Raw genomic sequence first — 24,606 nt, 5'->3', positions numbered from 1 at the left:
GACCAACATGGTGAAACCCCATCTCCACTAAAAATACAACAATTAGCCAGGCGTGGTGGCGGGCACCTGAAATCCCAGCTACTCAGGAGGGTGAGGCAGGAGAATCACTTGAACTCAGGAGGCAGAGGTTGCAGTGAGCCGAGATTGTGCCACTGCACTCCAGCCTGGGAGACAGAGCAAGACTCCGTCTCAAAGGAAAAAAAAAAAGAATAATTCAGATAAAGTTTCAGATAAATCAGTACTTATCCACACACTTGTCTCTCTAGTTCTGAAACTGAGGTAACATGTAGATTCAGCTAATGTGTCTCCAAACTAGGGAAGTGAAGCATTGTGACGTTAAGGGATATTCCTAAATGGCAAGCTTTGATGAATCTACCAAACACCATCTTAACTAGGGGGACACCCAATTTACTAGAGCAAATCCACATTGTCTTTTGTTTGTTTGAGACAGGGTCTCACTCTGTCACTTAGGCTGGAGTGCAGTGGTGCCATCATAGCTCACTGCAGTCTTGAATTCCTAGGCTCAAACAATCCTCCCACCTCAGCCTCCAGAATAGTTAGGACTACTGGCATGGGCCACCATGTCCAGCTTTTAAAAATGTTTCAGAGACAGAGTCTTGCTATGTTGCTCAGGCTGGTCTTGAACTCCTCAAGTGATCCTCCCGCCTTGGTCTCCCAAAACATTGGGATTACAGATGTGAGCCACTGCACCCACTTGTATTGTTTTTTCCCCCTACTTAATGTTAGTGTATATACATCCTATTGGCAAATTTTGTCAACGTCAATCCCACAACACATAACTGTCTCTTGGGAAGAAGCTATTAAATTCTTGTTTGCATTTGCAAAAGGGTTAGTAATGAACCTTGAACTGCCTGCCAGCAGACTCCAGAACCTAGGAGAGTGAACAAGGCCAGTACACTGAACCCTGTTGTATTTGCACTTTTTAAGCAAATGATTCCTAACAGATCAGTTGTGTCTTCTTTTTTGAGGCAGTCTTGTTCTGTCGCCCAGGCTGGAGTGCAATGGTGCAATCTCGGCTAACCGCAACCTCGACCTCCTAGGTTCAAGCGATTCTCCTGCCTCAGCCTCCTGAGTAGCTGGGACTACAGGTGTGTGCCACCATGCTTGGCTAATTTTTGTATTTTTAGTAGAGACGGGGTTTCACCATGTTGGCCAGGCTGGTCTCAAACTCCTGACCTCAAGTGATCTGCCCACCTCAGCCTCCCAAAGTGCTGGGATTATAGGGATGAGCCACTGTGCCTGGCCCAGTTGTATCTTCTTAACCTACTTTCTCAACACATTTTCTGGTCTTTTCAGTCATAACTAGACATAAAACACGTCAACTCTCTTTCCCTCCCCTTCACCCCCAGGTCAGCTTCTGAACTGGCTATTTCATCTACTGCTGATGTTCTTTGTCAATTTTTGAACGTTAACACAAAACCTCAGATGCTAAAATAATCTAATAGTCAATAAAAGTGTAAAAGACTTCTGATAAAATTATGTTTTAATTGCCTATGGCATATATTACATAATGGCTCAAAATTAATAGTCTGGCTGAAATTAAGAAAAACAGCTGATGATGACTTAGTAAATCCTTAATTTTAAGTAAGCTTTTGGCCAAATGTCAGGGGTAGAATTGACTCAAAATTAACAGCCTTCACCATCTTTTATTCATTCTGCTGTGATACAACTAAAATGGCCAGTAAATTCTCCCCTGGGTCTCAGGTAACAGTTTTCCAAAAGTGAAGTATCACTTTCTCTGCACAGTGGTGAAAGCCGGCATTTGGATGGGCTGGATCGGGTGGACAGGCTGAAACACTGGCTTCTTTCTCACTTCAGAGTGTGTTTTCACTGCAGGGAGCAGCTGATTCCTTTTGATGATCTGTAAGGCCAGCTGAGTATTACCTATAAAAACACTTCCCGTTAAAAAACAAAGCACAGAACAATACTGCCACACACAAAGCAAGACATGAAAATCCTGCTGGGGAGGTAAAAGATGATCTAGAAGAGCTGTCATCTGCAGCCTTGGCTGTATACTGGAATCCCATAAAGCCTCCATCTTATCCCCAGAAATTCTGATTTAAGCGATGTAGGGCATGGCCCAGGCAATGGAATTTTAAAAAGCTTCCCAGTGATTCTAAGGTATAGCCCAGGTAGAGAACTTGTTATAGGTGGGCTGTATAAAAGAAACAATCATCTGGGAGGGTTGGTTCATGCCTGTAACCCTAGTACTTTGGGAGGCCAAGGTGGGCAGATCGCCTGAGCTCAGGAGTTCGAGACCAGCTTGGGTACCATGGTGAAACCCCGTCTCTACAAAAAAATACAAAAATTAGCTGGGCATGGTGGTGCATGCCTGTAGTCCCAGCTACTTGGGGGGCTGAGGCAGGAGGGCTGCTTGAACCTGGGAGGTCAAGGCTGCAGTGAGCCAAGATCACGCCACTACATTCCAGCCTGGGTGACAAAGTGAGACCCTGTCTCAAGACAAACAAAAAACAATGAAACAATCTAGGGCAATGCACTAACCCTAATCACATCTTTAAGGAGGCTAAGGCCCGCTGGGTGCCAGGCACTAAAGACCCCTTCTTCAGCTATTAAAAAAAAGGGAGCCTTGTAAGAGTTCCCAAGGTCAACAAGGAGTTATGCCTTAGAACATTGGGTTTTTTTTGAGACAGAGTCTTGTTCTGTGGCCCAGGCTAGAGTGCAGTGGGGCGATTACGGCTCACTGCAACCTCCATCTCCCAGATTCAAGCAATTCTCCTGCCTCAGCCTCCAGAGTAGCTGGGATTACGGGCATGAGCTACTGTGCCCAGCCTTTTTAAAATTTTTTATTTTTTAAAAAAGAGACAGGGTCTCACTATATTGCCCAGGCTGGAGTGCAGTGACTGTTCACAGGAGCAATACTGCACACTATAGCCTTGAACTCTTGGCCTTAAGCAATCCTCCCGCCTCAGCCTCCAGAGTAGCTAGGACTCCATGCTTGGCTGTGACTTCATTTATGTCCCTTTTTTTTTTTGAGACGGAGTCTCGCTCTGTCGTTCAGACTGGAGTGCAGTGGCACGATCTCGGCTCAGTGCAACCTCCGCCTCCGGATTCAAGCAATTCTCCTGCCTCAGCCTGCTGAGTAGCTGGAACTACAACTGTATGCCAACACGCCCAGCTAATTTTGTGTATTTTTAGTAGAGACAGGGTTTCACCATGTTAGCCAGGATGGTCTCGATCTCCTGACCTCATGATCTGCCCGCCTCGGCCTCCCAAAGTGTTGGGATTACATGCATGAGCCACCGCACCTGGCCTATTTCTGTCCCTTCTAATCTCTCTCATTCATGTCTCTTTTCTACTTCATGCTATCTCATATTTAGAGCCAACAGCCTTTCTTCTAGTGAGATACATCTTGGAGATCGTATATGCCCTAGAGGCATGACCTGAATTTATGTTTGAATAAATAATTCTCAGCAAGAACTGGCTTACTGTAAAACTTGTTAATATGTGTTCAAAATACTATGGTGTATAACTCAAAGCAACTGCATTCTAACTCATGTTCTCAGTCATTTAGCTGCCTAGGAGAAAGGTTAATTAATAGTGATTAATTATAATTAAGTGTCTGAAGTTATGATTCTGTATTTTCTCAGATAAAAGGAGATAAGCTTAACTTGTAAGGAGTATTTGTAGGATACCAAAAACTCCCTAACTATATCTATCAATTTATCTATTTATCTATCTATCTATCTAGATAGATATAGGTATTTATTATTATTATTATTTGAGACAGGGTTTCACTCTGTCGCCCAGATTGGAGTGCAGTGGTGTGTCTCGGCTCACTGCAACCTCCCACCTCCCAGGCTCAAGCGATTCTCCTGCTTCAGCCTCCTAAGTACCTGGATTACAGGCATGCGCCACCACGCCTGGCTAATTTTTGTATTTTCAGTAAAGATGGGGTTTTACCATGTTGGCTAGGCTGGTTTCGAACTCCTGACCTCAAATGATCCACCCGTGTCGGCCTCCCAAAGTGCTGGGATTATAGGCGTGAGCCACTGTGCCCGGCCTATTATTATTTTTTTAGACAAGGTCTTATTCTGGCATGATCTCAGTTCACTGCAGCCTCAACCTCCAGGGCTCAAGTGATCCTCCAATCTCAGCCTTCCCAGTAGCTGGAACTACAGGCGCACACCACCACACCCAGCTAATTTTTGTATTTTTTGTAGAGATGGGGTTTTGCCATGTTGCCCAGGCTGGTCTTGAACTCCTGAACTCTGGTGATCAGCCCACCTCAGCCTCCCAAAGTGCTGGGATTATAGGCATGTGCCACTGCGCCCAGCTCCTAACTATATTTTTATGTAGAAGAATTTGATGGGTCGTCGCTCTGGCTCACGCCTATAATCCCAGCACTTTAAGAGGCCGAGGCAGGCAGATCACCTGAGGTCAGAAGTTCAAGACCAGCTTGGCCAACGTGGTGAACCCGGTCTCTACTAAAAATACAAAAATTAACCAGGCATGTTGGTGGGTGCCTGTAATCCCAGCTACTTGAGAGGCTGAGACAGGAGAATCTCTTGAACCTTGAACCCGGGAGGCGGAGGTTGCAGTGAGCTGAGATAGTGCCACTGCACTCCAGCCTGGGTGACAGAGCGAGACTCCATCTCAAAAAAGAAAAAAAAAAAAGAATTTGATGGGTCACCTATCTTCAAGGAAGGCAAATTTCTGACTCTGAAGAGAAAAAACAGACATTAAAAATCTCAGCCTTGCCGGGTGCGGTGGCTCACGCCTGTAATCCAAGCACTTTGGGAGGCCGAGGTGGGCAGATCATGAGGTCAGGAGATCGAGACCATCGTGGCCAACACGGTGAAACCCTGTCTCTACTAAAAATACACAAAATTAGGTGGGCGTGGTGGCGGGCGCCTGTAGTCCTAGCTACTCAGGAGGCTGAGGCAGGAGAATGGCATGAACCCGGGAGGCGGAACTTGCAGTGAGCCGAGATCGCGCCACTGCACTCCAGCCTGGGCTACAGAGCAAGACTCTGTCTCAAAAAAAAAAAAAAAAAAAAAAAAAATCTCAGCCTTGGCTGAGCATGGTGGCTTATGCTTGTCATCCCAGCTACTAGGGAGGGTAAGATGGGAGGACTGCTTGAGCCCATGAGTTTGAGAGCAGCCTGGGCAACAAAGCGAGACCACATCTCTAAAAAAAATTTAAAAAATTAGTTGGGCTCAGTGGCGTGCACCTGTAGTCCCAGCTACCTGGAAGGCTGAGGTGGGAAGGCTGCTTGAGCCTAGGAGTTTGGAGGCTGCAGTGAGCTCTGATGGTACCACTGCACTCCAGCCTGGGCAACACAGTGAGACCCTGTCTCCCAACCAAAAAATCTCAGGCTCTTTCAAGGGATAAAGTCCTAAACAGAGAGAATTACTCACCATTCTGCAGTTCAAGGTAGACTGCCAGCAAGATGGCCTCAGGGGGCACCTCTTTAGGATGGATCATTGAAGCCGCCTTTGCTCAAAACAGAAAGATGCCCGTGAAAAAACAAAAGCTTAAGATACACACTCCAAGTACATCTGCCAACCAACAAGGTAACAAACTTATTCAAGCTCATTCCCACGTGACTTCCTAGGGACTACCTGTTGTTCTGCTCTGATGAGCCTCAGTTCCTTTTGTCTTAAAACCTAACAATTAAGCTAGACATGTAATACTCTGGGTTTTGAGATGGGTGACTGGACACCCCGATACTACAGTCAACCATCCAATTCTGCTGGTGGCTTTCACAACAGACACATACAGTTGCAATTACATCAAAATCTGCATGCCCATTTGTTTTCCTAAGTAACACTTCAGTATTACAAACTGTAAGTTGTCAATGTCAGGAATAATAATTCAAACTTATAGTAATACAGAAAAAACGTACCACGTAGCATGTTTGAGGTCTCCATTCTTAAGGACTGAAACACACTTCAATTTAGTCCAATAAAATAATTTACTAGTTTAGGCAACATGCTGCCCTTAGATCTGAGTAAGAGCCATAGCATCGGCCAGCAGTTTCTCTCTGATCCAGTCCTGAAGAAGGAAGCCTGGACTGCTCTGGACAGAAGTGCTGAAATTACAGGTTTATTTCCTCAGTCTGGGCCTCTTTGAGCTACAGCCAAAATATTCCTCACCTTATTATCAACTTGTACTTCCCCATCTAGTTTTAGTTGCTCATTGCTTCCAGACAGCTCTGCCTCTTCTCTTAATCTAATCAGATAATAGACTTCTACAAATACTTATTGAACAGAGGTGGGTATGGAGATAAGACAGGGACTTCCCCTGATAACAAACAAGCATGCAAATAACTAACAATAATCCAAACACAGTTACGTAAATGCCAGGGAGAAAGGCAGTGAATGTGCTGTGAATATGGAGAGAAAGGAAGAAGTTTCTTTCAAACAGAGCTTTGGGGTAAGGGAGGCCTGCTTTAGTCCTTGCAGGGTAGATATCTCACAGGTAGAAAATGGGGAGAAATGGTACTGAAGGTAGCAGCTTGAACGTGGGAGATGTTGGGGAAGACCAGAAACGTGTACTAGGTTGGTTTCTGGCAGCATTAGGAGAAATCTCAGACTAGCGGGGCATGTTGCCCAGAGCATGTGCTTCTAAGAAGTTCCTCATGAATGAGGTGGGGAGGCTTTTATTCCTCTCGCCACAACACTGAGGTATAACAACTCTTTTCAGAAAATGAGATTTTATATATCTAAGCCTAGCTTTCTAGGCAAGCTGTATAGGCAAGATCGTCTTTATACCATTTTGTGGATTTTTTTTTTTTGAGACGGAGTTTTGCTCTTGTTGCCCAGGCTGGAGTGCAATTGCACGATCTAGGCTCACTGCAACCTCCGCCTCCTGGGTTCAAGCGATTCTTCTGCCTCAGCCTCCCAAGTAGCTGGGATTACAGGCTCCTGCCACCACGCCCAGCTAATTTCTTGTATTTTTAGTATAGACGGGGTTTCATCATGTTGTCCAGGCTAGTCTTGAACTCCTCACCTCAGATGATCCACCCGCCTTGGCCTCCCAAAGTGCTGGGATTACAGATGTGAGCCACTGTGCCCGGCCCATTTTGTGGATAGTAAAATCTCTGTTTTCCATCCAAGTGGCTAGTAACACATTTTATTTACTGTTTTTTTCAATGACCACAGTCTGAAGCTTTTTTTAAAATACAAGAATTCAAGGCAACATCTTTATGATACTTAATGGCATTTTGCTTACTGGCTGTTCAGAATGGTTAGTGGTGGGCAGGCAACCTTGGAAACATCTACTCGGAGCCCTTTCCAACTCTTCACATCACTGTTCTTCCCTCCCAGGCAGGGTGGGCCTCCCAATTAACAAAGGTCCAGCCATTGGATTAACCTAAAAACCAAGGGACCAAAACAAAACCCCCTTCAGACCCCAAACCAGGCCTGACCCCATCTGTCTCTCCCAGCGTGGCAGCAGCCATGGCCACCTGCTGTACGAGAACCTCAGCTGGACTGTACACACTGTAACTTTAGATCAAAAGCTCTGTTTGCTGCAGTGACTGAGGTCTGGGGGCACTTTGAGAGGGGCTGCTCAACACCCTAGCCTTGTTACTGAGAAGAGTGAAACATTTTAACTCTTACTGGTTTAACTCATACACTCAATGCCTAGATAATATCAAACATGTTACCCTGGACAGCCTGTCACTTAACTTTTCTGATCTGGGATCAGAAATGCTGACCAGATGCCACTAAGTTGACTAAATAGAATTTGTAGTTATTTTTCACATGGTAAAGCATCATCACTTCTAGGCACAACAAGGCTGCTCACATAAGCAGGAACCTATGTGAAAGCCACATAGGCTTTTTTTTTTTTTTTTTTGAGACAGAGTTTCGCTCTTGTTGCCCAGGCTGTAGTGCAATGGCGCGATCTCGGCTCACCACAACCTCCACCTCCTGCGTTCAAGCAATTATCCTGCCTCAGCCTCCCGAGTATCTGGGGTTACAGGCATGTGCTACCACGCCCAGCTACTTTTTGCATTTTTAGTAGAGATAGGATTTCTCCATGTTGGTAAGGCTGGTCTCGAACTCCTGACCTCAGGTGATCTGCCTGCCTCGGCCTCCCAAAGTGTTGGGATTACAGGTGTGAGCCACTGCGCCCGGCTGAAAGCCACCCTATCTCCTGAGAAGAGGTTTAATATCAACTTTAGTTGCTGTGGCAAGCATGTGGGGATGTGGGCCTTCTCATCTGCTGCTGGAGAATGTACCATTTGATACAAACTTTCTATATCAGAAGTCTTAAAATCCTGCATATCCTCTGACCATGCAATTCCCTTTTTAGGAAGGTGTCTCCTAACTGCAAAGGTCTACAAGCAAGGGCAAGATTGTAGTATGTCTGCTTATGTGCAGTCTTATTCCCATGGCTTAGCTCAGAAGTAAGTGCTCAACAGATATCTGCTGGATGAATGTCCTTTTGAGGAACTATTTCTAATTTTGTGAGATTCCTCTGGGGCTGCCAATGGTGGTACCCAGTCCCCTACTACAGGTATGGCTCAATGCCCATGATTGGTCCAGGGATTGGCAGGTGACCTACTAAAGAGATCCAATCAAAATCTTCCTTGAAGCTTCATGATGCACCATTTCAGTGGTAGAATTCAGAGGTTTATTTTAGTTATATATTGCCAGTAGCTTTCTTTAGTGTGTATGGAGTTTCTCTAGTATTGGCTTTCTGAAAGGTGGATTTATAATTCACTTTTTTTTTTTTTTTTTGAGACAGAGTCCCGCTCTGTTGCCCGGGCTGGAGTGCAGTGGCGCGATCTTGGCTCACTGCAAGCTCCACCTCCCGGGTTCATGCCATTCTCCTGCCTCAGCCGCCCGAGTAGCTGGGACTACAGGCACATGCCACCACGCCTGGCTAATTTTTTTGTATTTTTAGTAGAGACAGGGTTTCACCGTGTTAGCCAGGATGGTCTTGATCTCCTGACCTCATGATCCGCCCACCTCGGCCTCCCAAAGTGCTGGGATTACAGGCATGAGCCACCGTGCCTGGCCTATAATTCACATTTTGAAAAAAGATTTACACAATTCAAAATTTAAAAGCACCTGGGCACGGTGGCTCACACCTGTAATCCCAGCACTTTGGGAGGCTGAGGCGGGTGGATCACCTGAGGCCAGGAGTTCGAGACCAGCCTCAACATGGAGAAACCCCGTCTCTATTAAAAATACAAAATTAGCCGGGCGTGGTGGTACATGCCTGTAATCCCAGCTACTTGGGAGGCTGACGCAGGAGAAGTGTTTGAACCCGGGAGGCGGAGGTTGCAGTGAGCCGAGATTGCGCCATTGCACTCCAGTCTGGGCAACAAGAGCGAAACTCCGTCTCAAAAAAAAAAAAAAAAAAATTAAAAGCATAACAGTATACAGTGAAAAGTCTCCCATTCTACTGCTCCAGCCATGTAGTATTCGTCCTGCCACCCCAACAACTAATGTTTGCAGTTTCTTGGTGTGTCCTTTCAGAGATCTTTTATGCATGTATACAGGGTTATACAGAAACTGTTTCACACCTTGCTGTTTTCATTTAGTATGTCTTGGACATCTTTCCATTTTAGTACCTAGAGTTTATAGCTGCATTGTCTTCAACTGTACAGATGCACTATTATTTATATAAGTGATCTTTTAGACAGTTTTCCATCTTTTGGAATTTTAATAATTAAAACTGTCAACTTACTTCTTTTGTCTTTTTTTTTTGGGGGGACAGGGTCTCACTCCAGTTGCCCAGGCTGGAGTGCAGTGGCATGATCTTGGCTGACTACAGCCTCAACCTCCCAGGCTCAGGTAATCCTCCTACCTCTGTCTCCTAAGTATCTGGGACTACAGGAATGCACCACCATGCCTGGCTAATTTTTGGTATTTTTAGTAGAGACAGGGTCTCATTATGTTGCCCAGGCTGGTCTCAAACCCCTGGACTCAAGTGATCTGCCTGTCTCAGCCTCCCAGAGTGTGGGATTACAGATGTGAGCCACTGTGCCCGGCCCCAAGTTGCTTTTTATTCTGCTGATTTGAAATTTAAACATCTTTTTTTTTTTTTGAGACGGAGTCTCGCTCTGTTGCCCAGGCTGGAGTACAGTGGCACAATCTTGGCTCACTGCAACCTCCGCCTCCCGGATTCAAGCGATTCTCCTGCTTCAGCCTCCCGAGTAGCTGGGACTACAGGTGCGTGCCACCAACCTGGCTAATTTTTGTATTTTTAGTAGAGATGGGGTTTCACCATATTGGCCAGGCTGGTCTCAAACTCCTGACCTCATGATCCGCCTGCCTCGGCCTCCCAAAGTGCTGGGAGGCATGAGCCACTGTGCCTGGCAAAAAAAAATTTTTTTTAAAATAAAATCATCAAGAAGAACTTTCCTTTAAGTGTCTAGGTTCATTTACAATGCTGATTAGTTGTTTACCTTGCAAGAATATTTTTATATCTGGGAAAGTGATATTCCAATATTTAACAAACTGATCAGATGCTTCAAACAAAGTAACAAAAAATATAAACCTCAAACTTGTGTTGGCTGCTTTACAAGGTTCAGTTCCTCCCACTCTGGACTCACCTGGTGGAGACACTTTCGGGCTTTGTCATATTCGCTCCTCAGGCAGTAAGCGCTGCCAAGGTTGAACAGCATCACAGTCCTGGCAGAGTTGACGGAACTGGGGTAGCACTGAGGGGCCCGCTTACCAGCTGGGGAAAAAGAGTGTAGACACTGGTGAAGAGGCCGTGCCAACAGCAAGGAAGCAACCCAATCTATCGCCTTGAGGAGCCACTTGGCACAGCAGTATTCCTCAGGCAGAAAAACGAACACAGAAGATTTAGAATCTAAATTTTTGGGATGCAGGCCAGGCTACTTAAGTATCACAAAACTTCTTACTTACAGGATTCCATTGCTTCATTTTCACCTTTGTCTGATCCTACAAAAACACGAAAATAAATCTGAGGGGCAGAACAACAGAGCATATTTTCTTTCTTTTCTCCTCGGGCTCAGAAGGTAGAGGGCATATTTTCTTTTCTTTTCTTTTTTTTTTTTTTGAGATGGAGCCTCGCTCTGTTGCCCAGGCTGGAGTGCAGGGGCATGATCTCGGCTCACTGCAACCTCCGCCTCCTGGATTCAAGCGATTCTCCTGCCTCAGCCTCCTGAGTAGCTGGGATTACAGGCATGTGCCACCATCCCTGGCTAGTTTTTGTATTTTTAGTAGAGACGGGGTTTCACCATGTTGGTCAGGCTGGTTTTTTTTTTGGAGATGGAGTTTTGCTCTTGTTGCCGCCCAGGCTGGAGTGCAATGGCACGACTCACTGCAACCTCCGCCTCTTGAGTTCAAGTGATTCTCTGGCCTCAGCCTCCTGAGTAGCTGGGATTACAGGGGCATACCACCATGCCTGGCTAATTTTGTATTTTTAGTAGAGACAGGGTTTCACCATGTTGGTCAGGCTGGTCTTGAACTCCTGACCTTAGGTGATCCACCCACCACAGCCTCCCAAAGTGCTGGGATTACAGGTGTGAGCCACTGTGGCCAGCTGAGAGCATATTTTCTAAAAACCTAACTTTCTTTATGAAATGGAAATTTAATATAAAGCAATTTATTTACTTTTCATGTAGTGGAGATTCCATTAAAAAATGCCAGAATGCTACCACCCACCACCATCTCAAACCTGAGCACTAGTCTTGAGTAAAATGAATGTCACATAGCTTTAATTATTTAATTTTTTTTTTTTCTTCAGACAGAGTCTTGCTCTGTCACCCAGGCTGGAGTGCAGTGGCGTGATCTTGGCTCACTGCAACCTCCACCTCTCAGGTGCAAGCGATTCTCCTGTCTCAGCCTCCTGAGTAGGTGAGATTACAGGCTTGCACCACCACGCCCTACTAATTTTGTATTTTTGGTAGAGACGGGGTTTCACTATGTTGGCCAGGCTGGTCTTGAACTCCTGACCTCAGGTGATCCACCTGCCTCGGCCTCCCAAAGTGTTGGGATTACAGGTGTGAGCCACCGCACCCGACAATTATTTAGAAATTTAGCAATGACTTAAAACAAACTTTTTTTTCTTTCCTTATTTTTAAAATAGAGACAGGGTCTCACCAGGTTGCCCAGGCTGGTCTTGAACTCTTGGGCTCAAGTGACCCTCCTGCTACAGCCTCCCAAAGTGCTGGGATTACAGGCGTGAGCCACCACGCCTGGACTAAAACTGACTCTTGAATGCAATATTTTTACTCCCCTATGGATTTTAGAATCACTCCAAAGGAAAACAAATAAATAGTATCAGAACCAAAATTAACCATTCTAACAGTACCAGCCTTTCAAAAGTGAGAATTTAGATGATGTGATCATTAACTCTCAGGTCTACTTAGCAAACAACTGCTACAAAGTAAGTACAGACAAAAATGTGGAAAGCCAACCTAAAACTTTCTTCTCATTACCACCATGCCTAAATTTCCACACATCCTGAATTATGACAGGAGGGAAATGGAAACAGTGACCAGTTCTGATCAAAGATGTCCTCATTAACCTTGGTCCTGCTCATTTGAAGAGATCCCTAAGGAGACATCAGTGACATTCTCCGGGTTCAAGTGAGTAATGGCATCAGATATTCTGTCGAGAGAGATGAGGGCTTCTGCAGCATATAAATGTCCCAAAAACCTAAAATGAAAAAACAGATTCCAAACTGAAAAGTACAACGTCACAAAAATACCCAATGTAAAATAATGCTGGGTATATTATGTTATTATACATTGGATATAGGTCTCATATTTCATGTCCTTAAATTGAAATCTAAATTTATTTAGGTAAAACGAATCAACTGCCTGGGTGTAGTGGCTCATGCCTTTAATCTCAACACTTCAAGAAGCCTAGGTGGGTGGACTGCTGAGTCCAGGAGTTTGAGAACAGCGTGGGCAACATGGCAAAACCCTGTCTCTACAAAAAAAATACAAAAATTAGCTGGGCGTGGTGGCATACACCTGTAGTCTCAGCTACTCAGGAGGCTGAGGTGGGAGAATCACTTAAGCATGGGAGACTGAGGCTGCAGTGAGCAGTGATCATGCCACTGCACCTCAGCCTGAATGACAGAGTGAGACGCCATCTCAAAAAAAATAAAAATAAAAATTAAGATCGATCTCCTGATCTCGTGATCCGCCCGTCTTGGCCTCCCAAAGTGTTGGTATTACAGGCGTGAGCCACCATGCCCAGCTTTTTTTTTTTTTTTTAACTGGGGACCTTTTGATCTGCTCAAAATCTTAATGACTTTCTACACAAGAACAACACCACCACAAACTAAACTTTTATAGTTTTAAAACTCTCCAGGTTGAGCATGGTGGCTCATGCCTGTAATCCCAGCACTTTGGGAGGCCAAGATGGCAGATCACCTGAGGTCGGGAGTTCGAGACCAGCCTGACCAACATGGAGAAACCCCATCTCTACTAAAAATACAAAATTAGCCGGGCGTGGTGGTGCATGCCTGTAATCCCAGCTACTTGGGAGGCTGAGGCAGGAGAATCGCTTGAACCCGGGAGATGGAAGCTGTGATGAGCCGAGATCACGCCATTGCACTCCAGCCTGGGCAATAAGAGCAAATACAAAAAGTAGCCAGGTGCGGTGGCTCATGCCTGTGAAACTCCGTTTCAAAAAAAGAAAAAAAAAAAAAAAAGAAATTAGTAGGGCATAGTGGCGTGCACCTGTAATCCCAGCTACGCAGGAGGCTGAGGCAGGAGAATCCCTTGAACTGGGGAGGCAGAGGTTGCAGTGAGCTGAGATCATGCCACTGCACTCCAGCCTGGGCAACAGAGTGAAACTGTCTCAGAAAAAGAAAAAAAATTAGCCGGGTGTGGTGGTGGGCTCCTGTAATCCCAGCTACTCGGGAGGCTGAGGCAGGAGAATCGCCTGAACCCAGACAGTGGAGGTTGCAGTGAGTTGAGATTGTGCTACTGCACTCTAGTGTGGGTGACCCAGACAGACTCAGTCACACACAAACACACAAAGTCCAGTTCTCTCATAATGGCCGTATACACCACAATCTGAACACCAGCATCAGCTGCAATTCCCAACATTGGCATTTTGAGTTGGGCAATGATAAGGACGGAAGGTACTTTAGAGGCAACCCAAATGCCTTGAACTGAAAATTAGGATCTTCCCCATCTCCAGGCCTGAATATTGGACAAGATTTTCTTGCAGAAGAGCAGGAGCTCCCTTATATTTGAATTGTGACAAAGTCTCTTATATAGTTGAATGATTTATTACTTTTTTTTGAGATGGAGTCTCACTCTGTCACCCAGTTTGGAATGCAGTGGTACAATCTTGGCTCACTGCAGCTTCTGCCTCCCAGGCTCAAGCAATTCTCGTGCCTCAGCCTCCCGAGTAGCTGGGATTACAGGAGTGTGCCCCCATGCCCGGCTAATTTTCATATTTTCAGTAGAGATGGGGTTTCACCATATTGGCAGGGCTGGTCTCCAACTCCTGACCTCAAATGATTTGCCCAGGTAGGCCTCCCAAAGTGCTGGGATTACAGGTGTGAGCCACAGCGCCTGGCCTTAATTACTTAAAAAAAAAACAAAAACACTAGGTATGTTTGGGGATCACTAAAAAGCCAAAGAGTAAGTAGTTATATTTTGGCATTTGTAAGTATACACCTATACGATGAATGAAAGAACTGTTCTAATGTTGTGCAGAATACTCGTGGCTTTTGATAAAATTTCCAGGATCAGCACCATACAAAAATTCAAGCTGTATTTTATTTTTATTTTTTGAGAGGGAGTCTTGCTGTGTCACTCCGCCTGGAGTGCAATGGTGCAACCGTGGCTCACCGCAACGTCCGCCCCCCAGGCTCAAGTGATTCTCCTGTTTCAACTTCCCGAGTAGCTGGAATTATGGATGCCTGCCACCATGCCTGGCTAATTTTTGTATTTTTAGTAGAGATGGGGTTTTACCACGTTGGCTGGGCTGGTCTCAGACTCCCGACCTCAAATGATCTGCCTACCTCAGCCTCCCAAAGTGCTGGGATTACAGGCATGAGCCACCACACCTGGCCTGTATTTTACTCAATTTTGGTAAAAGAAAAGATAATGTGCTTTGGAAAATTTTAGAATGACAATGATATTAATGAAGAAGTATTTGCAGTTTGACTAAAACTAGCTGATTCTGGAATGATACAGTAGCTTGGAAAGATTTTTCAAATTCTTGTCTATTTTTTTTTTTTTTGAGACAGAGTCTTGCTCTGTAGCCTAGACTGGAGTGCAGTGGTGCAGAGATCTCACTGCAACCTCTGACTCCTGGGTTCAAGCGATTCTCCTGCCTCAGCCTCCTGAGTAGCTGGGATTACAGGTGCCCGCCACTACGCCCAGCTAATTTTTTGTATTTTTAGTAGAGGCAGGGTTTCACCATGTTGGCCAGGCTGGTCTTGAACTCCTGACCTCGTGATTTGCCTGCCTCGGCCTCCCAAAGTGCTGGGATTACAGGCGTGAGCCACCGTGCCTGGTCCCTCAAAGTAGATTTATCACATTGACCACACTCCTTTTTTTGTAGGTCTTCTCTCTGAGGACTTGACTTATTTGGAGAATTAAAGTGCTGCAGTGAAGCCTAGAAGTGGACACTAGAGTCCGAAGTTTTTGTCTCCTAACGCTCAGTACAGCACAAGTGAAAACATTTTCACTGCCGAGGCATGGGTTAAAAAACGTTCTTTTAAACAGTTGCTTTCCTTACAAATATATATTCCACTGGAGGAGTCAAAAGAAGCAACATAAACCACAAACCAAGGAGAAACCTCAAAACTAAAGAAACCAGGGACACACAGGGCAAGTCACACTTACTTAAGAGATCCTGACAGCTTGGGCTGCTGAAGAAGTTTATCTGCATGATTCAAAGCCATGAGGTTATCACCCAAAGCCAGAGCCACGTAGGCACTGCAAGCAAGTATGGAGCACCTATAACACAAAAGGGAAGGGGCCGAAAATCTCATTTTAAACATTGATAATGGTTATATTTGCTAAATAGGAAGAAATGCCCTTTAGCTGTGACAATCTGGACACCAGGAAAGAGGAGAGGAAGCCACGGTACTAATGGTAAGAATTAGATTGATGTATAAAACAATTCTGAAACACAGTTTGGCTATTTACATAAGTCATCTTTAGCTTTCATCCAATTGACCCACATCCCCAACAAAATAACCAATGGATTACAATACATAGCCTGTATGTATGTATGTATGTATATATGTATAGATAAATACACACACACACACACACACACACTATATATATATAGCCTAATGAGAACTAACTTCCATAGAAGTTTGCTTTTAATAACCTAGGAATAAAGCTATAGAATGAGATCTTATTCTTTCTACATATATTTGTGATATGCTAAGAAATAATTAACTTACTAAAGCATTCATTTACTTTAAATGTTCTTTTCTCAACCAATTAAGTCTACAGTTCTTGCTAAACCATAGTATCAAGAGTAACTAAAAAGTTTTATTCACACAGTTACTATTCTTCTAAAGGAATACTGAAGGAAAAAAAACAGGTTAAACAAACATATGTGAAGACAACGTTTAAGTTACATTGATTTCGCTAAGTTGGATTGGAAATCTAAGTTTCTATAATATTTGGTTTTCTACTTCACAGACAGCTCATTTAAAACAAGTCTGGTTAAAGACTTAATACTAATAGATCACTTGAATGTTAAACAACTGCTCCACAAAGCAATCTTAAAATAAACCCTTGTCAAATAGAAATGAAGTCTGAATGGCTAACCACAAATGACCTCACTCAGATACAGGGTTTTGAGTTATGTTTACAAATTACAATACACATATGTATCATTAAGTGCATTCAGGTTGTAATTTTAGTCTAAGGAAGAATGTAACCAGTATATCACCACAGAGTTTTGAAATGTTCTGAAATCCTCTGACTAGAAATGGCTCTTCCTATAAAAAGCACAGCTGGGCAAATTCAAAAGTATTCTGTTTCCTCTTCACTTGCTAACTTTTGGTTCCTAGAATCTTAGAAAACTACCCTAGAATTTGGTTCCTAGAATCTTAGAAAGGCAGCCCCTCAACTCTTAACAACACAGAAAAGTAGAGTGGTCCTTGAGAAGCATAACGAAATTGAGGTTTATGCCTTATACTACCATGGGAGGGCTGAAAGACTGTCTAGTGTGGTTCCTTGTTTAACTGATGTGGAAACAGAGACTCAAAGTGAGTAAACATAATCTTTAGCTTAGTGTGTGATTAGTTAGGTCTAATATTTGACATTGTAGACTCCCAATCCGCTGTTCTTCCCATCCAATCACATTGCTTCTTTATTAACTCACAAGACCACTTACAAAAAACACAACAGAAAAGATTCTTGTACATTATAATTTTCTAAGTTCTAGGCATACACAACATAGGTATTCTAACTTGTCTTTTTAAACAGGTAGAAAAAGTTTAATCCAAACATAAGTTTATATTTTGTCCCTGAGTATGTAATTTTAAATCTGACCCTTATTACAGAGGATAGTAATTTGAGAGCCAGCAAGTAGTGCCACTTTCAAAGGAATTTTCCTGGCAAGCCTACTATCAATATTTCTGGCTCTTCAACAGCTGGCTTTACCAGCAAGGTTGTCCCATGGCCACAGTCCCTACAATGAACCCTCCCCATGAAGGAAGACTCAGGGACCAGAGGCAGGAGGCTAGTTATCTCTCATCTTCAGAAGAATGTTAGTAGTTAGGTCTGTGTGGCAAGACTGGTGACTTAATTTCTCCTTTTGGCTTATTTGTATTTTTAATTTTAAAATGGCAATGACATTCATTCATTCAAGAAGTATACTGAGTAACTACAACATATCAGATATGTACTACTTATGAACAAAAAAAGACTATTAAAGGTCCGGTCTCCGGAGGCTCAAGAAGACCATTAGTGGCTGGGTGCGGTGGCTCATGCCTGTAATCCCAGCACTTTGGGAGGCTGAGACAGGCTGATCACCTGAGGTTGGGAGTTCGAGACCAGCTTGACCAACATGGAGAAACCCCATCTCTACTAAAAATACAAAATTGGCTGGGTGTGGTGGCGCATGCCTGTAATCCCAGCTACTTGGGAGGCTGAGGCAGGAGAATCGCTTGAACCTGGAAGGTGGAGGTTGCGGTAAGCTGAGATCACGCCATTGCGCTCCAGCCTGGGCAACAAGAGTGAAACTCCGTCACAAAAAAAAAAAAAAAAAAAAAAAAAATTAGTTCAGGGCCTATGTGAATGACAGTTACAAAATTTAGTATCTTTTTTTTTTTTTTTTCTTTTGAGACGGAGTCTTGCTCTGTTGCCTGGGCTGGAGTGCAGTGGTGCAATCTCGGCTGACTGCAACCTCTGCCTCCTCGGTTCAAGCTATTCTCCTGCCTCAGCCTCCCAAGTAGCTGGGATTACAGGTGCCCGCCACCATGCCCAGCTAATTTTTTTGTATTTTTTTATAGAGATGGGGTTTCACTATGTTGGCCAGGCTGGAAACTCCTGACCTTGTGATCTGCCCGCCTCGGCCTCCCAAAGTGCTGGGATTATAGGCGTGAGCCACTGCACCCGGCCCGATATCCATTTTCATATGTGACTCTGCCAAAGGTCAGTGTAAAACATAAGCTTCTTAAAAGCAGAAGCACACATCTGTGGTTTCCTACACAGACTAGAGCAATATCTCACATAGGCAGTAGGTGCTTAATAAGTATTTGTTAAAGAAACACAGCTTTCAACATTTTAAATCTGCTTCTCCAGACCCCCACCTTTCCTGTTGGTAGGTCACTTTGCTAATGAAGCCAACTCTTTTCCAGCTCCCACAAATGGGACTTTTCCTGCATGATCTAGGTCCTAGAGTCTAGGACAAGACCCACTTCAGGCAGGCTTGCTGGGAAATGCCTGCCCTGGCCTCTCCCGACAGTAGGTGGGCTATTACTGCTCCAGCCCACTGTCAAACCCACTTTGGGTCCAGAAATCAGTCATGTAAGATTTGCAGCAGGATTCTGTTTCCCAGGAAGCCCAAACTATAATTACGTAGAATATAAAAATCTGCTTTCTTCAAATTCTAAATCAAAACAGGGTAAAAGACTATAAAAAATAATCATTCAATTAAAAGTTCTCAACTGTGAATATGAAACTTTAGGGCTGACATTCTGATTAAGAGCCATCAGGATTAAGCAAGTTTCATTGCCCGAAACTCAAACCAACATTTATGCTCCCTTCTCTTGGTGCATTACAATCCATCCCAACTCACCTCTCATCACTCTCACACTCATCCTCCTTTTCCTCTTAGAAAACACCGCACTCTGCACAATTCCTGCAGACTGCTAACGCTAGAAGCACACATGGCTCTACTGAGCCCCCAGAGAATCACTTTACTTTTGATAGTTACTACTTAAAATATTGTCCCCACCCCCACTTCCTCGAGTCACTGTCCAATCTGCTTTACCAATCACTCAGTGGATCTGACAGTTCATCAGACTGGAAGAACTATACCTCAAGGGAAGAGACACTAGCTTTTCCCCCCTGTGGAGGATCTGACAAAACCCCACTCTCCCCTTCACATGCTGAAGGAACTAGCTCTAGGTCCCCAGAATGCCCATCCTTGGAAAAGAAGATAAAAAAAGAAGAAAAAAAAAAAAAAGGAAAGGAAAAGAAAGGAGTAAACATTTTCTTCAAGCACCAAGTTACAACAAGCTATGCAAGACTAGGCATTAAAATTTGTCAAGCCATAGATCCTGTGAGTTAAAGAAATCTAAACCAAATATCTGAAATAGTTTAACCCTTATTAAAAAAGGCTAAAATGAGGATAAATCCAGTCAGTCACCATTTGTCAAAGGAAAATAAATTTACAAAGTAGCCTCACAGCAAACATTTGAAAAATTGGCTTAAAAAATCCAATAATGATACAAAAAGTTACACAGGCGTGGTGGCACATGCCTGTGATCCAAGCTACTTGGGAGGCTGAGGCAGGAGAATTGCTTGAACCTGGGAGGCAAAGGTTGCAGTGAGCTGAGATCATGCCATTGCACTCCAGCCTGGGCAACAAGAGCGAAACTCTGTCTCAAAAAAAAAAAAAAAAGAAAAAGAAAAAGAAAAAAGAAAATAAAAATAAAAAATCTAATAATGTAATTTCTTTTCTTTCTTTTTTTTTTGATATGGAGTTTCGCTCTTGTCACCCAGGCTAGAGTGCAATGGCATGATCTCTGCTCACCACAACCTCCACTTCCCGGTTGCAAGTGATTCTCCTGTCTCAGCCTCCCGAGTAGCTGGGACTACAGGCGTGCACCACCACACCCACCTAATTTTGTATTTTTAGTAGAGATGAGGTTTCACCATATTGGCCAGGCTGGTCTCGAACTCCTGACCACAGGTGATCCGCCTGCCTTGGACTCCCAAAGTGCTGGGATTACAGTCGTGAGCCACCATGCCCGGTTAATGTAATTTCTTTCAACAAACTGAATATGGGAAAGTACACACTAAATATCTATTTTTTTTTTTTTTGTAATGGTCCTTGGAGAACAGGGCTACCCCACAGGCAGTATGCCCAGAGTAGCTGAGATTTTTAAATTTCAAAAGAGGCCAGGCACGGTGGCTCATGCCTGTAATCCCAGAACTATGGGAGGCCGAGGCAGGCTGATCACCTGAGATTAGGAGTTTGAGACCAGCCTGACTAACATGGCGAAACCCCGTCTCTACCAAAAATACAAAAATTAGCTGGGCGTGGTAGCGCATGCCCCTGTAGTCCCAGCTACTCAGGAGGTCGAGGCAGAAGAATTGCTTGAACCCGGGAGGCAGAGGTTGCAGTGAGCAGAGATCACACCACTGCACTCCAGCGTGGAAAACAGAGCAAGACTCCGTCTCAAAAAAAAAAAAAAAAAAAGTAAAATAAATATATATATATATATGTATTTTTTTTTTTTTTGAGACGGAGTCTTGCTCTGTCGCCCAGGCTGGAGTGCAGTGGCACGATCTTGGCTCACTGCAAGCTCCGCCTCCCAGGTTCATGCCATTCTCCTGCCTCAGCCTCCCGAGTAGCTGGGACTACAGGTGCCCGCCACCATGCCCAGCTAATTTTTTGTATTTTTAGTAGAGATGGGGTTTCACCATGTTAGCCAGGATGGCCTCGATCTCCTGACCTCATGATCCTCCCACCTCAGCCTCCCAAAGTGCTGGGATTACAGGCGTGAGCCACTGCACCTGGCCAATAAATAAAATTTCTAAAGAAAAAAATATTAATGCCAATTTGTCTACAATAATCCAAAAAATGTTAAACTTGTCAACCTTCAACTTTTTTTTGAGACAGAGTTTTTTGCTCTTGTTGCCCAGGCTGGAGTGCAATGGCATGATCTTGGCTCACTGCAACCTCCGCCTCCTGGGTTCAAGCAATTCTCCTGCCTTGGTGGCCTTCCCAGTAACTGGGATTACAAGCATGCACCTCCATGCCCAGCTAATTTTTATATTTTGTGTGTGTGTGTGTGTGAGAGCAAATTAATTTATTTAGTACTTTTTCCATTCCATATCATCAGGATTGATTTCAACTTTCCTTTTACCTACATCAGACCAGCTGGTACTCAAAACTGTACCATCAGACTCCCATAAAGGATCTGTTCATGGCACATTTCACTTCATCAGAACCATCTGAATAGATCTGCTGAAATAATCTGTTTAAAGCTGCATCTCCCTCCAACTTTTCATTATTTTCTTCTTCTTTGATTTTACCCACTAATTTATCCCAATTTCTTGTATAAGGAGATGATGATGGATGTAGGTGCTTTACACCTGCTATGAATTGTTTTGGTGTAGGCACATCTCCTTGCTCCTCTAGCTTTTCCCATCTCACAGCCTCTGGCTTTTTCAGTTTAATTTCAATCTTGGTTGAAACTACTTTAAATGTGCTCTGTTCTGGTATTATAGGATGAAGTTCCAGTTTCAAATTGTAATCCTCTCCAGAAGGAAGTTTAACCAAAGCAGACAATTCCTTTTCTGAAAATTCCACATTTACATCATTCTTTGAACATTCTTGATCGTAAGTGTAATGACTACTTGCGATTCTGTTTGATACCAGTCATACCTGATTTTTGACTGATGAGTCCACACATCAGATTCTGGGCCATTCTGAGCTTCTTGACATCTTTTAATCCAGACACTGAAATTAGCATCTGCACTATCTAATTTTTGTCCTTCTGTAAAAATTTCTAGGGCAGCAGCATAGTTTTTTTCATAGTATTCACATGTTCCTTTTCTCAACATAGTGGTGGAATTATTTGGATTGAATTCGAGAGACTTCTTTGCATCAGCAACAGCAACACAGTAATTACAAGAATGTGACAATAAGCTCTTTGACACTAATATTATGCATCATTTGGTTTCTGTTCCAAAGCCTTAGTCAGCTCCTCTAATGCCGCCTGGGGGTCCTCGTCGATTAGAGTATCCAAGAAGCTCTGGAAAAACCTCTGGGAAGTTGCAGGTCCTGCTGCAGCTTCCGCCATCCTCGTAGTCACTGCTGCTGCCGCCGGAGCTGCTACTGTCGTAGTTACCACCTCCGCCACTGCCCAAGGGGGAAACTTCTCAATTTTTGTATTTTTAGTAGAGAAGGGGTTTCTCCATGTTGGTCAGGCTGGTCTCCAACTCCCGACCTCAGGTGATCCGCCCACCTCGGCCTCCCAAAGTGCTGGGATTACAGGCATGAGCCACCACACTCAGCCAACTTTCAACTGTTAAAGTTGAAGTTTAGTTGTTCAATTAGTTTTTAATTTTATCTTCTGTAAACATTTTGCTAATAACAGTTCTGTGCAAAAAGAATCTTATTGACAAACATAGTCCAAATCCAACAGAAATAGAAGTACAACACAAAAAGCTAAAGAAGTTTTATCTTTATCAAATCTGGCATCCCAAAGAACCCAGTCTTATCCTGGGCAGCAAATAAAATATAAAGTCACAGAGACTTAGCATTTTACACATGGACGGGATCTTAAGATCACCTAAACCAATTGCTTTATTTGATAGAAAAGGAAAAGGCAGCCCACAGGGGTTAAATGATTTATCCACATTAGTGGCCCTGTGGGGTTTCCACAGAGTGGCAGACCACTGAAGAATTTTTTTTTTTTTTGAGACGGAGTTTCGCTCTTGTTGCCCAGGCTGGAGTACAATGGCGTGATCTCGGCTCACCACAATCTCTGCCTCCTGGGTTCAAAAGATGCTCCTGCCTCAGCCTTCTTGACTAGCTGGGATTAATGGCATGCACCACCACTCCTGGCTAATTTTGTATTTTTAGTAGAGATGGGGTTTCTCTATGTTGGTCAGGCTGGTCCCGAAATCCCAACCTCAGGTGATCCACCTGCCTCGAACTTCCGAAGTGCTGGGATTACAGTGAGCCATTCCACCTGGCCTGAAGAATTATTTTAACCCTGGTTTGTGATCAATCTGATCACCAGTTCATCTAAATGAGATCCTTGGAGGCAGATGTGAATCATGCCAACGTGAACACAAATTGCTGATAGTGTGAAGGAAATGTCACACAGGTAGGATCCTTCTACGGTAGAGTTCGTTAGATGAACAAGTTTCAGGAGGACCACACTCAGTCGTAAGACTGAAATGGGGCTGGATCTCTAGCAAAAGCAATATAAGATTCAAAAGATTATTAGCCATAATCCTCTTTTAGTTATGTCTTATGGGCTACAATATCACCACTGGGCTAACAAAAGAAGAAATATGGTTTCTTAAGCACACTAAAACTGTCTATAATATTTATGTTATCAACCATTTGTTTGATTCATCTTCTTTTATAGACACTGGACCACAGGAGGTCCCTTTTAACTGAATGGAAAATAATTCACTGACTGTCACATTAGAGTCTGAAAGAACTAATTAAGCTTTATAATTTACACTTGTGGAATAACTGGGCTTAATTAAATTTGCTCCAAACATTTCCTTTTATCCCTTTTGTGGCCTCCCATTTTAGAAATGACCAATTAAATTAAAATTTCATTTTCAGGCCAGGTGCTGTAGCTCACGCTTATAATCTCAGCACATTGGGAGGCTGATGTGGGAGAATTGCTTGAGCTCAGCAGTTTGAGACCAGCCTGGGCGATACAGTGAGACTCTGTCTCTACAAAAAAAAAAAATTAAAAATTAGCAGAGCATGGTGGTGCACATCTGTAGTCCCAGCTACTTGGGACGCAGAGGTGGGAGGGCTGCTTGAACCTGGGAAGTAGAGGCTGCAATGAGCCAAGATTGTGCCACTGCACTCTAGCCTGGGCGACAGAGCAAGACCCTGTCTCAAAAAAAATTTTTTTTTCATTGAAATTTTGTATGCTTTGATTTTAATTTCTTGTACAGACATCTCCCATGTTGGCTCCAACATTATTTCCTACCTTTTTCAGTTCTGTTACACTCTTTATCAGACTCTTGAATAGCCTCCATTAAGTTCAGCTAATATCACAATCTCAGAACGAATAACAAAGATGTTCTATAATAAGCAACATGTAAGAGTCAGTTCATACCCATGACAGTTATTAAACCACTATGCAACAATGAAATATTGTTATATAGCTGGGCCCGGTGGCTCACGCCTGTAATCCCAGCACTCTGGGAGGCTGAGGTAGGCAGATCACGAGGTCAGGAGTTCGAGACCAGCCTGACCA

The 24,606-nt window shown here is 43.8% G+C and overlaps 1 protein-coding gene and 1 pseudogene across 15 annotated transcripts in view, besides 1 other annotated feature; both read right to left on the bottom strand.

Annotated features, from left to right (window-relative positions):
* Positions 771-1,065: a silencer, noted in NCBI's record as "tiled region #10112; K562 Repressive non-DNase unmatched - State 17:Gen3'". NCBI's record gives its function as "represses a minimal TATA promoter and a strong SV40 promoter by Sharpr-MPRA in K562 cells {active_cell/tissue: K562}" and the evidence as "EXISTENCE:reporter gene assay evidence [ECO:0000049][PMID:27701403]".
* Positions 1,487-24,606, bottom strand: part of CNOT10 (CCR4-NOT transcription complex subunit 10) — an 88,688-nt gene continuing 65,568 nt past the window's right edge. For 7 of the 15 annotated variants that reach the window (NM_015442.3, NM_001393366.1, NM_001256741.2 and 4 more), the window contains 6 exons: positions 15,791-15,904; positions 12,499-12,629; positions 10,872-10,907; positions 10,553-10,680; positions 5,400-5,475; positions 1,487-1,905 (listed from right to left, as the gene is read on the bottom strand). In NM_015442.3, coding sequence (NP_056257.1) covers positions 1,751-1,905; positions 5,400-5,475; positions 10,553-10,680; positions 10,872-10,907; positions 12,499-12,629; positions 15,791-15,904 — 640 coding nt within the window. In that variant the 3' untranslated portion in view covers positions 1,487-1,750. Of the gene's footprint in view, positions 1,906-5,399; positions 5,476-7,215; positions 7,357-10,184; positions 10,313-10,552; positions 10,681-10,871; positions 10,908-12,498; positions 12,630-15,790; positions 15,905-24,606 lie in introns of those variants that run through there. The other 8 variants (NM_001393367.1, NM_001393368.1, NM_001393369.1 and 5 more) reach the window with 3 other exon arrangements.
* SUGT1P2 (SUGT1 pseudogene 2) lies at positions 21,442-22,532 on the bottom strand (annotated as a pseudogene).

This window comes from Homo sapiens, chromosome 3 (genome assembly GCF_000001405.40).
Source record: "Homo sapiens chromosome 3, GRCh38.p14 Primary Assembly".
Taxonomy (NCBI): Eukaryota; Metazoa; Chordata; class Mammalia; order Primates; family Hominidae; genus Homo; species Homo sapiens.
The sequence above is the reverse complement of the archived record's forward strand: the minus strand, read 5'-3'. Positions and strand labels throughout refer to the sequence as shown.